The sequence below is a fragment of the Homo sapiens genome, chromosome 2, assembly GCF_000001405.40.
Source record: "Homo sapiens chromosome 2, GRCh38.p14 Primary Assembly".
NCBI lineage: Eukaryota > Metazoa > Chordata > Mammalia > Primates > Hominidae > Homo > Homo sapiens.
In genome coordinates this window covers 137,314,210-137,332,070 of record NC_000002.12, presented here as the reverse complement: position 1 = coordinate 137,332,070, position 17,861 = coordinate 137,314,210, and the positions used below count along the sequence as shown (strand labels likewise).

Here is a 17,861-nt window from a genome sequence, read left to right as displayed (position 1 = left end):
CCCACTGCTGCACTGTGGGAGCCCCTTTCTGGGCTGGCCAAGGCCGGAGCCGGCTCCCTCAGCTTGCAGGGAGGTGTGGAGGGAGAGGCGCGAGTGGGAACCGGGGCTGTGTGCGGCGCTTGTGGGCCAGCTGGAATTCCGGGTGGGCGTGGGCTTGGCGGGCCCGCACTTGGAGCAGCCGGCCGGCCCCGCCGGCCCCGGGCAATGAGGGGCTTAGCACCCGGGCCAGCGGCTGCGGAGGGTGTACTGGGTCCCCCAGCAGTACCAGCCCACGAGCGCTGCGCTCGATTTCTCACCGAGCCTTAGCTGCCTTCCCTCGGGGCAGGGCTTGGGACCTGCAGCCCGCCATGCCTGAGTCTCCCACCCCCTCCATGGGCTCCTGTGTGGCCAGAGCCTCCCCGATGAGCACCGCCCCCTGCTCCACAGCGCCCAGTCCCATCGACCACCCAAGGGCTGAGGAGTGTGAGCACATGGCACAGGACTGGCAGGCAGCTCCACCTGCAGCCCCAGTGCTGGATCCACTGGGTGAAGCCAGCTGGGCTCCTGAGTCTGGTGGGGACGTGGAGAACCTTTATGTCAGGATTGTAAATACACCAATCAGCACTCTGCATCTAGCTCAAGGTTTGTAAACACACCAATCAGCACCCTGTGTCTAGCTCAGGGTTTGTGAGTGCACCAATCAACACTCTGTATCTAGCTGCTCTGGTGGGGCCTTGGAGAACGTTTATGTCTAGCTCAGGGATTGTAAATACACCAATCAGCACCCTGTGTCTAGCTCAGGGTTTGTGAGTGCACCAATCGACACTCTGTATCTAGCTGCTCTGGTGGGGCCTTGGAGTACCTTTATGTCTAGCTCTGGGATTGTAAATACACCAATCAGCACTCTGTATCTAGCTGCTCTGGTGGGGCCTTGGAGAACATTTATGTCTAGCTCAGGGATTGTAAATACACCAGTCGGCACTCTGTATCTAGCTCAAGGTTTGTAAACACACCAATCAGCACCCTGCATCTAGCTCAGGGTTTGTGAATGCACCAATGGACACTCTGTATCTAGCTGCTCTGGTGGGGTCTTGGAGAACCTTTGTGTCCATACTCTGTATCTAACTAATCTGATGGGGACTTGGAGAACCTTTGTATCTAGCTCAGGGATTGTAAATGCACCAATCAGCGCCCTGTCAAAACAGACCACTCGGCTCTACCAATCAGCAGGACGTGGGTGGGGCCAAATAAGAGAATAAAAGCAGGCTGCCTGAGCCAGCAGTGGCAACCCGCTTGGGGCCCCTTCCACACTGTGGAAGCTTTGTTCTTTCGCTCTTTGCAATAAATCTTGCTGCTGCTCACTCTTTGGGTCCACACTGCTTTTATGAGCCGTAACACTCACCTCAAAAGTCTGCAGCTTCACTCCTGAAGCCAGCGAGACCATGAGCTCACCGGGGGGAATGAACAACTCCAGACGCACTGCCTTAAGAGCTATAACACTCACTGCGAAGGTCTGCAGCTTCACTCCTGAGCCAGCACGACCACGAACCCACCAGAAGGAAGAAAACTCCTAGCATATCCGAACATCAGAAGGAATAAACTCCAGACGTGCCACCTTAAGAGCTGTAACACTCACCATGAGGGTCCACGGCTTCATTCTTGAAGTCAGTGAGACCAAGAACCCACCAATTACGGACACACTTTCACAGACTGGCTTTAGTGTCTGTGGCTTTTCCAGGTGCACGGTGCAAGTTGTCAGGTCTACCATTCTGGGGTCTGGAGGATGGTGGCCCTCTTCTCACAGCTGCACTTGGCAGTGCCCCAGTGGGGACTCCGTGTGGGGGTTCTGACCCCATGTTTCCCTTCCAAACTGCTCTAGCCAAGTTTCTTTACGAGGCCTCTACCCCTGCAGAAAACTTCTGCCTAGACATCTAGGCATTTCCACACAGCCTCTGAAATCTAGGCAGAGGTTCCCAAACCTCAAATCTTGACTTCTACACACCTGCATACCCAACACTACATGGAAGCTGCCAAGGTTTAAAGATTGCACCCTCTGAAGCAACAGCCTAAGCTTTATGTTGGCCCCTTTTAGCCATGCCTGGAGCAGCTGAGATGCACGGCATCAAGTCCCAAGACTGCATACAGCAGGAGGGCCCAGACCAGGAAACCATTTTTCCCTCCTAGGCCTTCAGGCCTGTGATGACAGGGGCTGCCACAAAGGTCTCTGACGTGCCCTAGAGACAGTTTCCCCATTGTCTTGGTGATCAACATTCGACTCCTCATTACTTATGCAAATTTCTGCAACAGGCTTGAGTTTCTCCCCAGAAAATGAGTTTTTCTTTCCTATTACATTGTCAGGCAAATTTTCCAAACTTTTATCCTCGGCTTTCTCTTGAATCTTTTGCTGTTTAGAAATTTCTTCTGCTGGGCTGGGTGCAGTGGCTCATGCCTATAATCCTAGCACTTTGGGAGGCCAAGGTGGGCAGATCACGAAGTCAGGAGATCAAGATCAGCCTGGCCAACATGGTGAAACCCCGTCTCTACTGAAAATACAGAAAATTAATTGGGGATAGTGGCAGGCACCTATAATCCCAGCTACTTGGGAGGCTGAGGTAAGAGAATTGCTTGAACCCTGGAGGTGGGGGTTGCAGTGAGCTGAGATCATGCCACCTCACTCCACTCCAGGCAACAGTGCGAGACTCTGTCTCAACAAACAAACAAAGAAATTTCTTCTACCAGATACCCTAAATTATCTTTCTCAAGTTCAAAGCTCCACAGATCTCTAGGGCAGGGACAATATGCTGTCAGTCTCTTTACATAACAAGAGTGACCTTTACTCCAGTTCCCAACAAATTCCTTATCTCCATCTGAGACCACCTCAGCCTGGACTTTATTGTTCATATCACTATCAGCATTTTGGTCAAAGCCATTCAACAAGTCTCTAGGAAATTTTAAACTTTCCCACATCTTCCTCTCTTCTTCTGAGCCCTCCAAACTTTTCCAGTCTCTGCCTGTTACCCAGTTCCAAAGTTACTTCCACATTTTTGGGTATCTTTATGGCAGCACCCTAGTCTTTGTGGTACCAATTTACTGCATTAGTCCATTCTCACACTGCTATAAACAACTGCCTGAGCCTGGGTAATTTATAAAGGAAGTTTAGTTGACTCACAGTTCAGCATGGCTGGGGAGGCCTCAGGAAACTTACAATCATAGAAGAAGGCACCTCTTCACAGGGAAGCAGGAGAGATAATGAAAGAGATGAACAAAGCTGGGGAGGGGGCCCTTATAAAACCATCAGATCTCATGAGAACTTACTATCACGAGAATAGCATAGGGGAAACTGCCACTATGATTCAATTACCTCCCACCAGGTCCCTCTCACCACATGTGGGGATTATGGGAACTACAATTCAAGATGAGATTTTGGTGGGGACACAGCCAAACCATATCAGAGAATTTGGGAAGGAATGGTTCACTTTTGTAAAACCAGTCAGATGTCACTAGACAAAACACCAGTCTGCTGATGTCCATTTTCAAAGGAAGAAGCGTAACTGCTACTATTATACATTCTGCTATGTTTCCTTGATTCATGTTTTGAGAAAAAAAATGTTTTTGTAGGTTTGTCACTGTAAAATAAAAATAAAAGGATAATTATCAGTATCCTAGCTAACATTTAAACGTTTTAAATTACATTTCAAAAGTGTTCTCTATGAAATTCAATACAATTAAGTCTTGGAGTAAGAGGACATTCAAAAATCTGTTGCTACTAGAAACTAGTGACTGTATTTGTGCATAAATGTGTTTGTTGTTGTTGTTGTTGCTGTTTCTGCCAAATTTTTAGTAGAGAAACTCTTATAGGATTAAGCAAATTTAATGAAAATATTAGCCATATTTTCAGTTGCATTTTTAAAATAATATGCTCTCTTTATCTAATATTTTAGACTCATACGCATTTATCTAAGTATAAGATGTCAAATTTCACGCAGCTATGTCCCCCTTGTAAAGGAGAAGCAGTGAAAAATGCCAATTACTTGTAAAAATCTGATAAGAAACTAAAATCCCCATATCAATGAGGGAGAAACATTGCAACGGCTTTGTAATTCTTTGCCTCAGTGGTGTTTTGAAAATTCATCCAGCTGCGAAAAAAATGTCAACTTGGACTATCTGCTTTTTGAAATGTCAGCATACCTTTCACAAAGAGGCTCCCAAAGAATAATCTAGAAACTCCAAAGGCCACATCTGTGGATGTTGACAGCTTTTCTTTACAATAATTAATTAATACTGTTTAGCTATTGTGCTAAAAAGAAAGTATAACTAATTTTATTATCTAACAATTCTAAAACTATTGCTTGAAAACATTTTTTATTACATCTAGCCTTCTACATGTCAAAGTCGGAGCTACCTAAAACTATGTACCATAAATAACTGCCTCACTTCCTTGTATTGATTTATCTATGATAAACTTTCAATAAATATTTAATGATGGATAAAGGTGGAAGAGAAAGCAAGATGGGGAGTACAAAAGGAATAAGGAAATGTAAGAACAGAAAAGAAAAGAGTAAATGGGAAGATAGAGGAGATAGAGAGCAGAGGAGAAAGAGAAAAGGAAAACAGAGAAGAGAGAATGGAAGGAAAAGGAGAAAGATGTCAGAGGTTGGAATAATTGATCATATAAAACAATACTGAATTTCTACTCCTTGATATCATATTATAAACAAAATTTATTATAATCAGATACTTTTAATACTTACAGTAAAAACTCAAAGCTAAACAATCAAATCTTCAACTCAGTACCAGAAAAGATTAATAAGGAGATCTACAATGCTCAGCAGATGTCACAGAATGTCTCAGGCTTGGCAGTGGCCTAGGCTTACCAGACACTCACCTAGTCCAGCTGTCTCAGTTCTAAAACAGGCTTGCGCTTTAAATCAGGGACTTCAATAGAACAATATGCATATAGTGCAAAAAGTACACTAAGCCTTCATTGGAGATGACAAATAACTACTCACTACCAAGGGAAGGAAAGATGACTTAGTCAAATAGAAATAAAACTATTAAATGTGTGGATAAATGTGTTTTGCAGGAAAGAATCAACAAGCTTAAGTATTCCAGCATTGACCACAGAGAGATTTTGCTCATTTATTATTTTCACACTTAAACATTTATCATAAAACACACTTAAGCTTGGCTGCTGTGTGTTTGAAACTGCAACTGCATTTATCAAGGGAGGGGTCCATTTTTTCTGGCATTCTTATATTGATCTGTGCTAGTGTGCTTGCTGCTTTGTAAGGACTCACATTATATTCACTTGTGTACATCCAGTTTTGTCAACTGTATTTTAAGTCCCCCAAAACTGTTCATTCCAGCATCTTCTATTTATTTTAATATCTCCAAAATGGCTCAGCATTTGATAGGCATGAAATCAATACTTTGGAATAACTGATAGCTTTTGTTACTATGAAAGACAGTAAAGGGGAACTGCGAGGTATGAGTACAGGTAGATTTCACGAGTTTTTAAAAAACAGAGCCACCGTTTTCTCTGTCAATTATTCAGCCTACCACTTTTAGGAATCTAAGTGGCTTTGTATAACCTGCTTTGAAGTTTTTTTTACATTTAGTTGTTTTTAGGTCAAGTTTTCATTTCTTGCATGTTTGTACTTTGTTAAGAATGTGTGGGGGGCTTAAGAACTTTTGTGGTAACTGCCAAGATAAGAAAGGAGGAATGGCGAAGAAATTAATCTACACTGAGTATCAACTACATGCCAGACAAAGATCTAGGCATGTTCATGTATTGTTATAATGTTGTTTATTTTTATGCATTATTTATTCACTCTTACCCTTCTGAAGGGCATGCTGATTTTCCTTTGGGTATCTACCCCTCCTTGCTATGATCATGGGTCTCGATAGAAGCTATGTCCCTCACCATTGTCAAAGGAAGGTTGGATGGATCTAACATAATTCCCCTTAAAATATCCACTAGGTCAAGAATCCAAACTGAAGCCAATCAATTCCTGATAATCCCCTGTTAACGAGACTGGTTCTGGAATGAGACTGTGACCCGATCCAAGTCAATGGTATATGAGAAAAGATTTCAGAAGGCTTCTAAGAAAAATGCTCCCTCACATTTAAGAGAAGACACTGGGAAGATATGTCTCTTTTCCTTTAGATGTTATGGCAACACATGAATGAGAAGTTTGGGGTTGTGAAGCCAACGGAAAACCAGCAAATGAAGATGGCAGAGGACAGAGCCAAGAGAATCAGAAGCACTGCGAAGCAGACACCAAGTCTTGAGTTCTGCGTAGTAGAATAATTTGAGCAGGATTTTAAATTACTTGCAGCAAAAAAAGCATCCTTCCAAATACATTTATGTTACTTCATTACATTCTTCAAATATAATAAACATATATCATTCTTATTTTACATTTATTAAACTCAGTTAACATGGGTAGAGTATCGGGCACTGTGCTAAACGTATTCATGTGTGTGTTTGTGTGTCTGTGTGTGTGTGTGTCTGTGAGTTATCTCATTTAGCTCACAAAACAGCTCTCTGAGGTTGTGTTATTAGTCTCTTTATTTTACAGGTCATGAAGCTGATGAAGGATAAATAATTCCACCACGGTCAGGCAACCAATACATGAAAGGGTGCAGGTCCAGCGAAGCCCACCACCAGGTTTCCTGTGTGATACCATTCTGTTGGGTACTGAGATTTTTCACCCTGCTTTCACTGTTGTTCTTGCTCTTTTCCAGGGCAAGCATAAAATGGAAAATTTAAAAAGCCATGGCTGAAAAGTAAGTCAAAGTGAGGTTAACTGCTTGCTTTCACTTCAGTTCAGAGCTTTCTTTTCACTTCCATTCAGAGATGGCCCAGATGTGGAGTTTCTGTCTGTGACCAGAAGCTTAAAAAATTAAAAACAAAAACAAAAAAACAAAAAACAATGTAGGTGGAGAAGGGAGCTGGAATTCAGAGAGATGAGTTATTAACCTGTGGCCGCCTGTCCAGTGACTTCTTTCTATAGCAACAACATCTCGAATAGACGCACTGCTTAACGCCAATGCCTATGGCAAAACCACAAGGAAATCTGTCGTATCATATCATGGAAACTGAACAACCAGTTGAATGCAGTTAAGTATGAAATGGAATTTGCTGACCTCTATTCGCAAGGAAGAAGCATGCATTGATCAAGTTGACTCATGGTTTGAGGCAGTCTTCCTCCTGGGAGAAAGGTCCTCAGAAACGGGTCAGTAATATGGAGTTCGATTTTGTCCTCCTTCCTAATTTTAATTTGTCTTCTTGATCCTATCTTTGAAACAGTCCTTTCCTGTTTTTATACCCTTGATTTGATTAGCATTCCCCTTGATTTACACAAAACAATTTTTTAAACTTTTATTTCTCTAGAAATATACACTTTCCCTTAAATTATCCATTGTCCCCAAAGGTTGAAAAGCTTTGCTGTAAGAATCAATATGAGAAAGCAGCAAGCACTCAAAATGGTATGTCTCTTGGTAACTATGTAATTTATACCCCTTTAACTATAAGCATTTTGAGGTTAGGAACTACAGAGGTTTTTTTTTGTTATTTCACAAGATGCCTAGTAAAATTCAAAGCAATGAATGAAAGAATTATAAAACACACAGAAATTTTTGATTGAATGAAATAAACATGAATGTCATTAATTATTGGCTGACTACATTTTTCTTGTGAGGAATACTATTTCAAATATTATAAATTCGACCACGATTATATAACTCAGGGAAGAGATACAGTATCTTCTGTCATTTTTTTCATCCATTAATTAAAGAAACACTTCTTAAGTATCAACTGTGTGTCCAACTACACTAGGTTCCAGGGCTGCATATGATAAAGAACTTGGTCTCTGCTTCAGCATATTTAGGACACAGAGAAGTAATCAAAAATTGAAAACTGATGTGATAAGTGAAATGAAAATTACACTATGTGCTTATTTCCTAAGTTGACCTGTAGTGACTTTTTACCTCTGCAACACATTAAATCCTTAGGAGCTGTGACAATGAGGGAAAAGATAATCCAAGTCTCCAGTGATAAAATCTCTTTTTGGGCCACTCATTACTATGAGCCTCGGAGAGTGATGTATTTTCCTATTTAAAATTCACTTTCAAAATGATTATGACTTAGGGAAAACATGGGAATAAATGAAAGGTATTACTGCTGACAATAATGTGGCATTCTGCTTTGCTAGAGCCAGAGCATTTATTTTTGTCAAACAGAATCTCATTCGTCTTCTCAGATTTTCTCATATAAATGATGAATATTCATCTGTAAAATTTATGGAATTAATATCTTTCAAAATTACCAGTTCACCCTAGTTTTTTGTTGCCAGTTTGGCTTATAGACAAATTTGTCATCAGGTTTCCAGTCAAATTCATTCACATAAGCAAGAGACTAAACACTCACTTAGTCGCTACTATTTAATCAAAACAGACTCCCCACTCCCTCAATAGCTAATAAGTGTCAAAGAAGAGATTCAAGCCTAGAGCTGTGTGCAGCCACAATTCTCACCTTCATGCCACACAGTACCTCTCAGCATAGTTAGTGAAGAGTAGACACATAATTTATTCTTTTGACTGGAAATAAAAGAGCATCTTATGACATCTCAATGAATAGTAGAAGGATGTGGTAAGGTTATGATGTTGGTCAATAAGGGAGAATGACTTCATAGGAATACAAGAGGAGATTATGAATATCAAGCTTCTCATGGGGGACAGGAACTGGGAGCCAGGGCAGCCACAAGTCAGGCTACCAGTCTCCTTGCTCATGGATGGCATGGTGTCTCTGTCATGCTACCTCCACCTCTGACTTCACATTCATTCCAGTCTACTCTGTCTGTTAACTGTACTGTCTTTATACTCTTCCATTTTGTAGAATCTTTTTAACTCCGTCATTTCTGATCAGTTTTTCTTTCAGAATTGTGATTGAACCTGATCCATCACAGCCTCCTTGACTTCTCTATTATCACATTCCTTGAGTTTCTACTACACTGTATGTTGACTGGTGGTGACCAGTGAGCTTGCCTGAGAGTCAGGAATATGGAGCCACATAGCGACAAAAGCCATGGCATGAAGCTGTCCTGTCGATAGAGCTTTGGAATGACTTTCCTTTACAAAAGCTGTGGAAATGTCAGATAATATTCTTGTTGTGTTTATGACAGAGATAATATCCTCTCCTCCATGTCCCTCTATACCATTAAAACTAGGTTTCTGTACCTATCAGGAAACAAGGTGAGGCTCTATGACAAACAGAGATGTTCCAAGTCTAGAAATCAGAATGGATTAGAGAGTATTCTACGGCACATATTGATTCCTACCTAAATTAGGATAACCCAGCTAATGCATGGTTAACAAATGTCTAATCAAATCTCAGCTGAAGGTCAAATCTGCTTTTGTGTTAGCTTTAAAGATCTGTCAACTGATATTTATGAAATGAAGAAGGGTACAGTTAAGGATGCTAGCTCTGGACTCTGAATGGGCCTGAATCCTGGTCCCACACTGTCTTGATAGATGAGCTTGGTGAAGTTAATTTCTCCAAGATTCAGTCTCGTTATATATAAAATGGGAGTGATAATAGTACCCACCTCATGGGATTTCTTGAAGACTAAATACAACCCATGTAAAGATTTAGAACAGGCCCTGAAAAGTAACTGTTCTGGCTGTTATCATTGCTATATGTCAGGCTCCATGCTATGTGCCCTACTCCTCTAATTTCATTTTAATCATCATAATGTCTCTACTGAGAAAGTGTTATTGCATGTGTTTGACAGAGAAGGTGGCAGACCTGGGACGGGAACTAAAGTTTTCACAGGAACTTCTAGTCCCATGATTTGCAACTTTGTAAAAGCTTCCATTCCAATTTGAGATTAGAGCTTAAATTATGATCTTACACCAGGGAGGAAAGGGGAGCTGAGTTTTAGAATGAGCAAATGACTTTTTAAGGTTTTAAAATTATATTCCCACAGTGGTATTAACACTTGACAACCTTAATGCTCTACAACCTTAAAACTCTGCTTAATCCAACATATGAGAAGTAATGGCAGTGCAAAGGCAGCCACAATGCAGAGTCTTGGAGTGCCTAAAAAGCATCTGCTTCCCCATAATGTCTCAATGAATCATTATGACAAACAGAAATAAAGCCAATGCATCTCACTATATAGCTGATGCTGCTTTCCTGCTCACAAGGCACAGAAGTTAATTATTATGAACAGATGTGCTTAGATTGGACAAGAATTTATACTCCATGAAATTCAGCATGGACTGAAACAACACAATATGGTTGGTATATTTGTATTTCTTGGGTGGTTGTTGAAAGGGATGCACTGCTCACCATCCTGGAACGTTCATTTGAAGGCCCTTGAGAGTCTTACTTTCCTATTGCAGACCACTTTGCATATATTTCAGTCCAGAAGAACCCACTTTACACATTGAGATTACCACATTGCCTCATTCCTAAAGTGCCTATGATTGGTTGATTCAGCTGTTGATGTGCCAGACTAATGAAGCCAGGATTATGTGTACCTTCCCCATCTGGGGAAGTTAATTTTATTTAATATCATGGTAAGACATTCTTATCCCTTCTGGAATAGGTGACCAGATAAGAATATGTCAACTCATTAGCACAAACACAACACTCCTATTATAACAGCTAAGAATGCATGTGCGTGACTTTCATATACAAAGCACAAGGCTGAACAACTATTAATTAATTCAAAAGATACTTATTTTAGATTCTTCCAGTTTAATAAATGAATTATCCACTTTTTAGGTCTAGGGTATTCAAAGATGAGTCAGAAAATTTCCTATTCTACACCATACATAATTTAGCCTATAAGAGACATAATACTCTAAACTACAGCATATGTTCAGTTTCCCCCTAAAATGGAAAGAATAATTTTTATAAGGCTAATTAAGATAAAGATGATGAAAACTTTTGTAATTTGAGGGATAAATATGGGCTGACTTCTTTGTGAGGACTTTATATAACTAATCTCACTTATCTCACAGCTACTTTATGGTGTAGGTGTTACAATTATTTTAAAGATGAGAAACTTGTGGCTTAATGAAATCAAGTAACTTGTCTAAGGCACACACACGCTCAAAGCCAGAAAGCCTCTGTGGCATCCCACATGCATTTGCTGCATTGCTCTGGGAAGCTAGAGGGAAATGAATAATTCTTTGAATTGCGGAAGGCTTCAGAGAAAAAAATGCCATCTGATCTGGGCTTTGAGGATAAGTCAGATGTTATTAGTCGAAGAAGAAGAAGGACATTCAAGGTAAAGAAATGGCAGGCCCAAAGCCAGGGGTATGAAAGAATTAATACATTTTTCTCTAATTTGAACACATCTCTTTCCATTCCACCTTTGTAAGCACTTTTTAGATGGTTAGTGGATTCACAGTAAAGCCTGTGGACAGCAAATACAATAAAACTTATTATTCCATTTAAATATGAAAAGCATGACCTTGGGCTTTGGGTATAATTACAACCCTGACACTAGTCCACATACCACATTCATTTTCTACATGGCCCAAATCAACACAGATTAACTCAAAGTTAATAAGGCTTTATAAAGGACAAATTGCACATTTAATGTCATTTCCTCAACCAAAGACTGATAAATCTTACTAAGGTGTATGATATCAAAATAGTTGTACTTTTCAATATATTTGGATGATTCATTTTAGAGAAACAGGGCAAACTGTTTTTCTGGATAAGTATGACACAGTATGCAAAAATGATTAACAATACTGTGCTGTGTAATAAAATACATCAATACATATGGTAAATATACATATATTAGAATATAAGAGCTGGAGTACAATGTGATATAGTATCTTTGCACATGTAAGAGATCATATGCTAAATATGATTACTATGAAAAGAAAAAAGTCTAATCAGTTAACTAGATTCAGCTGCTAATAACAGAAATCCAATTATAGTGGCCTAAACACATTAAATTTTCTGGCAGTTTTATTTTCTCTTATAAAAGAAATCTAATGATAAGTGCTCCAAAGCTGACACAGCAACTCCCTTAGGACCTTTCTGTATTTCTACTCCATAATCCTCAGTGAATGTCTCCATCTCCCAGGCCACAAGAATGTAGCTGGAGCTCCAGGAGTCTCATCCATGAGCCAGGCAAGAGCAAGAGGAGGGCAAGCCAAATCAGCAACATTTAAAGGTATTTCCCAGAAGCTCTACCCAATATTCTATGCTTATAACTCATTTGACCACCCCCGCCACCCGCCACCACCGCCAAGCCTTAAGAAAATCTGGAAAACAATGATTTTTTAAGCTGGCACCTCTAAAAAAAAGTCAAGTTTGTGTTATTAGGGAATAAGAAGAAAATTAGAATTGTGAAGGCAACTAGAAACCTCCACCCACAGTGTCTGATATGAAAAATCTGAACTGATAAGTTGAGTAGAGCTTATGAGAAAATGGCAGCAACAGCCATGATAACATCTTTTCAGTGCTTTGCACTTCATAAAATGGTTTTGTAGTCCACACAATATTGAACATGAAGTGATTAAACAGCAAGGGTCTGGATTAAAGGGACTTGGGAACATAAATAGTGTGACACAGAAAATATCACAACAATATTCATTGAAACATTGCTAATAAGAGAAAAAAGCAAGACTAACATTGCTCTGTAGATAGTAATAAGAGTCTTGAACCTGGAGGTGGACATCATGGTACAGATCACATGGAATAAGACACAGGAGACATATAAGCACCTCAAAACATGGAAGAAGAGTAGGAAACAGAACAGAACATTTCTAAAGCCACATGGATGGTGAAGGAGATAACCCTAGGTCCCATTACATGTCCTTCAAAAAAAAAAAAAAAGAAATATATACTTACAGTATAGTCATCTTAACTCCCTTTTTTTTGTCTTCAAAAAACCACAAGTTATAGGAACACGTGTTTCTTCGTGGAGTTGCAGAGAGTATAGAAAGATATTTTATAAGAGGTATTATACCCTGAGTAAAGATTTTAAGATCAGAAACAGTAAGACGAGTAAATGACCTCCATTACAAAATTCTGTTTAATGAGTCTTGTTTCTAGATATGTTATTCATTACACCTTTCCATTGTGAGACAATTCAATCTTCAGAACTTCCTTTAAGATAAGCGGGTGCCTGTGGCTACTTGGGAGGCTGAGGCAGGAGAATCACTTGAACCTGGGAGGCAGAGGTTGCAGTGAGCCGAGATAGCACCACTGCACTCCAGCCTGGGCAACAAGAGTGAGACTCCATCTCAAAAAAAAAAAAAAAAAAAAAAAAAGATAAGCATTCCTATTTTAGAGTTGGAAAAGCTGAAGGACAAAGGGTTTTAAAAGGTTAAAACCAAGGTTACAAAGCTCTTAAGTATAGAGACAAAAGTTAAACACAGACAATTAGGTTCTGAATCCTATGCTGTTTCTGTGCTAGGAAGGAGTAGAGAAATTTCAATAATGTTGGATCATGGTTTTCCAATATTATTGTTGCCGAGTTTGTACTCCTTTGTCCTCTGTTTCAGTGCCCTGCTTTTTTTGGATGGGGGCGGGGGAGTGAGGGTATTACCTCTGTTTTTACTTTCAGTAGATGTATCTGGGATAAGATTGGCCCTATATTGTACCTCCTGGGTGAGTACTAGACTTAGGCTTGACCAATGAGAGTAATGGTGATTGGTTCACAGATATGACTTCAAATAAAGACATTAAGTCTCAATTCCTGGGCTTTTTCTGCAACATTGGACAGGGAAAGTTCCCATCATCCTGTGGTTGTTAAACCTGGACTAGGAGGTACTTCTTTATGCACAGAGATGGCTAGAGAATAAAGCCAGAACATAGAGAACTAGAGTCAGGAAGAAAACCCAAGCCCTGATGATATCATTTGAGTCTCCAGATTTAATCATGCTTGAAGCAAAATCAAAACCTTGTATTTTTCAATTATGTGCGAAAGTAGGTCCCTCTTTTTGTAACTAGCCTAATTTGAGTTAGATTTTCTGTTAATATAATGCAAAAAATCTTGCCTAATAGAGTGGGTTTACAGATGTAACTGTAACAGATGTATGATGTAACTAATATGGAGTAATTTAGAACTCAAACAGGAATAGCTGCAACTAAACCAGCATGGATCCTTTTTCTTCCCCCCTCCCCCATAGAGACAGGGTCTTGCTCTGTCACTCAGGCAGTGGCAGTGCAGTGGTGCTATAATAGCTCATTACAACCTTGAACTCCTGGGCTCAAGCAATCCTCTGGCCTCAGTCTCAGTCTTCTGAGTAACTAGGTCTACAGGTGTGCGCCACCATGCCCAGCTCATTTCTTTTTAATTTTTTATAGAGACAAGGTCTGGTTATGTTGCCCAGGCTGGTCTCAAACTCCTGACCTCAAGAGATCCTCCCACCTCAACCTTCCAAAGCTCTGGGATTATAGGCATAATTATATCGCCAGGAGCCATCCTACCCAGCCCAGCATCAATACTTTTTAAAGCCCACGTTTTGTGAGTTAGTAAAACTGGTTTATGTTGAAACTATCTGAGAAATTTTTTCCTCTGGAGATATTTATGGATATACTATAAGATAATTTGATTAGAATGCTCTAGAGTACTTATGATTTGTTTGTTTTGCTTGACATCACTTGATCCTCTAAAAATAGATAGTCCAGTTACCATATTTCAAAAGGTGCCTCTGCATGTTAGGTAATTGCAGAACGTGTAGACACGCCATATCATTATAAAGAGGTTTACGAGAAATAGGCTCATTATACAATATCAACAAACACTATTTGAGCATGTAGCATTAATAAATAATACTTGATGTTTGTATCATAAAGGACTTGACTGCCCATAGAATTCTTGGGAAAATAAAAATAGATCAGATAATTAGTATGTAGGATAGTCTCATTTCACTGATGAAAATAATACCTGAACAAAGATAAAAGAACAGGAAAAAAAATCAAGATATACAAAAAATTTGTCTCCATCACCAGGAAAAAACTGTCAACTATATTTCATGGATCAGTTTAATGCTGTGAATAAGAATTATGTTTACAAAAGACTTCTATTTATACTCTAAATTCTACACTTTTTCCCCTATGGTTTTACTTTTACTCTTGAAATACAGATTATGTCAGAACCTACCAACTCAGAGGAGTAAAAACCTTAATTATCTGCTGGGAGTAATACATTTATGCAATGTTAACAACAGTCAATGATTATAAATCCCACTTCTACTGGCTCACTCTCTCCTCCCCATCCTCTCCCCATCAAAATTACCATATCATAAGAACCTGGTCGCCTTTTCTTTTTTTTTCTTTTTCTTTTTTTTTTTTGAGACAGAGTCTCGCTCTGTCGCCCAGGCTGGAGTGCAGTGGCACCATCTCGGCTCACTGCAAGCTCCGCCTCCAGGGTTCACGCCATTCTCCTGCCTCAGCTTCCTGAGTAGCTGGGACTACAGGCACCCACCACCGCGCCTGGCTTTTTGTATTTTTATAGAGACAGGGTTTCACTGTGGTCTCGATCTCTTGACCTCGTGATCCTCCCACCTCGACCTCCCAAAGTGCTGGGATTACAGGCGTGAGCCACCACGCCCAGCCTCACCTTTTCTTAACAGCAGTTAGTTCTTATTTAGATGATTCACTTGTATGAACCTATCACTTTTTTCCAAAATCTTTGGGAAATATGTACAAAAATGAGGGAGGGGAACTCATCAGGGAAACCTGGAGTAAATTCTTAGTAACTTTTTGGTTAAGCTTCAGAGGTTATTTTTAGCACAAAATGAGGACTGTGGCATTCCGTTAAGAACAGTCATTTAACCTTCACCAAGTTCTACAACTTCCTAGTTTTACAGATTCATTTTGAAGGTATCGGTTGTGGTATTTTTTTCGCCCACACATGCAGGCTTAGGCAAAGGCCATAACTTCTAACAGATCTGTGAAAATATATACCACTTCGCTATAATTGTCAACATATTTCCACCAGATCTATCCTGCTGAAGTAATTGTATTACCCAAGTAATAATTCTGTGATGATATCAAAGACTAACACACATAATACCAAGAATTTAAAAGTTAAAATAAAAATTTTAAAAGAATTCACAAATTCACAGGGAAGAGAAGATATCTAAAATTTTGAAAATAACTGTACAATGAAAAAAATAGCATACTAGGTGTTAAAACATCATCAAACTAACAATATTAAAGCAGTGGAATTACTAATGTGTGAAGACATGAATCAGTAAAATGGCACAGGCAGAGATTCTAACATGAGAAATTACAACAGGCAGCTTTTGAACTCATGGGGTAACTAGGGATAACTGGCTAGCTATCTGAGAAACAAAACACTCTATCTCTACTGCAATTCCCCTCCTAAATATATTCCATCTAAACACAGTAATTAAATTTAAAAAGGTAACAGAACAAGAAAATCAAGTTAGTTATTTTTATAATCTAGAGATAGAGGGGCTTTTCTATAATAATACCAAATCTAGAAACGAAAAAAAAAAGTTGATAGAGACGCTACTGAAAAACGTTTTAAAATTATATATACATATAGTGGGGGAGGAGCCAAGATGGCTGAATAGGAACAGCTCCGGTCTACAGCTCCCAGCATGAGCGACGCAGAAGACGGGTGATTTCTCCATTTCCATCTGAGGTATCGGGTTCATCTCACTAGGGAGTGCCAGACAGTGGGCGCAGGTCAGTGGGTGCGCGCACTGTGCATGAGCCGAAGCAGGGCGAGGCATTGCCTCACTTGGGAAGCTCAAGGGGTCAGGGAGTTCCCTTTCCGAGTCAAAGAAAGGGGTGACAGATGGCACCTGGAAAATCGGGTCACTCCCACCCGAATACTGCGCTTTTCTGATGGGCTTAAAAAACAGCGCACCAGGAGATTATATCCCGCACCTGGCTTGGAGGGTCCTACGCCCACGGAGTCTCGCTGATTGCTAGCACAGCAGCCTGAGATCAAACTGCAAGGCGGCAGCGAGGCTGGGGGAGGGGCGCCCGCCATTGCCCAGGCTTGCTTAGGTAAACAAAGCAGCTGGGAAGCTCGAACTGGGTGGAGCCCAACACAGCTCAAGGAGGCCTGCCTGCCTCTGTAGGCTCCACCTCTGGGGGCAGGGCACAGACAAACAAAAAGACAACAGTAACCTCTGCAGACTTAAATGTCCCTGTCTGACAGCGTTGAAGAGAGCAGTGGTTCTCCCAGCACGCAGCTGGAGATCTGAGAACGGGCAGACTGCCACCTCAAGTGGGTCCCTGACCCCTGACCCCCGAGCAGCCTAACTGGGAGGCAACCCCCAGCAGGGGCAGACTGACACCTCACAAGGCCGAGTACTCCAACAGACCTGCAGCTGAGGGTCCTGTCTGTTAAAAGGAAAACTAACAAACAGAAAGGACATCCACACCAAAAACTCATCTGTACATCACTATCATCAAAGACCAAAAGTAGATAAAACCACAAAGATGGGGAAAAAACAGAGCAGAAAAACTGGAAACTCTAAAAAGCAGAGCACCTCTCCTCCTCCAAAGGAATGCAGTTCCTCACCAGCAATGGAACAAAGCTGGATGGAGAATGACTTTGACGAGGTGAGAGAAGAAGGCTTCAGACAATCAAATTACTCCGAGCTATGGGAGGACATTCAAACCAAAGGCAAAGAAGTTGAAAACTGTGAAAAAAATTTAGAAGAATGTATAACTAGAATAACCAATACAGAGAAGTGCTTAAAGGAGCTGACGGAGCTGAAAACCAAGGCTCAAGAACTACGTGAAGAATGCAGAAGCCTCAGGAGCCGATGTGATCAACTGGAAGACAGGGTATCAGTGATGGAAGATGAAATGAATGAAATGAAGCGAGAAGGGAAGTTTAGAGAAAAAAGAATAA

At 40.5% G+C, this 17,861-nt stretch overlaps 1 protein-coding gene across 2 annotated transcripts in view, besides 1 other annotated feature; it reads right to left on the bottom strand.

The window, feature by feature from the left end:
- The window catches only part of THSD7B (thrombospondin type 1 domain containing 7B), a 912,174-nt gene that overhangs the window by 345,648 nt on the left and 548,665 nt on the right, over positions 1 to 17,861 (bottom strand). The gene's annotated exons all lie outside the window — the stretch shown is intronic.
- Positions 16,813 to 17,313: an enhancer, noted in NCBI's record as "H3K4me1 hESC enhancer chr2:138072328-138072828 (GRCh37/hg19 assembly coordinates)". NCBI's record gives its function as "activates a minimal SCP1, AML or CMV promoter by ChIP-STARR-seq in naive H9 embryonic stem cells {active_cell/tissue: H9 hESC(naive)}" and the evidence as "EXISTENCE:reporter gene assay evidence [ECO:0000049][PMID:30033119]".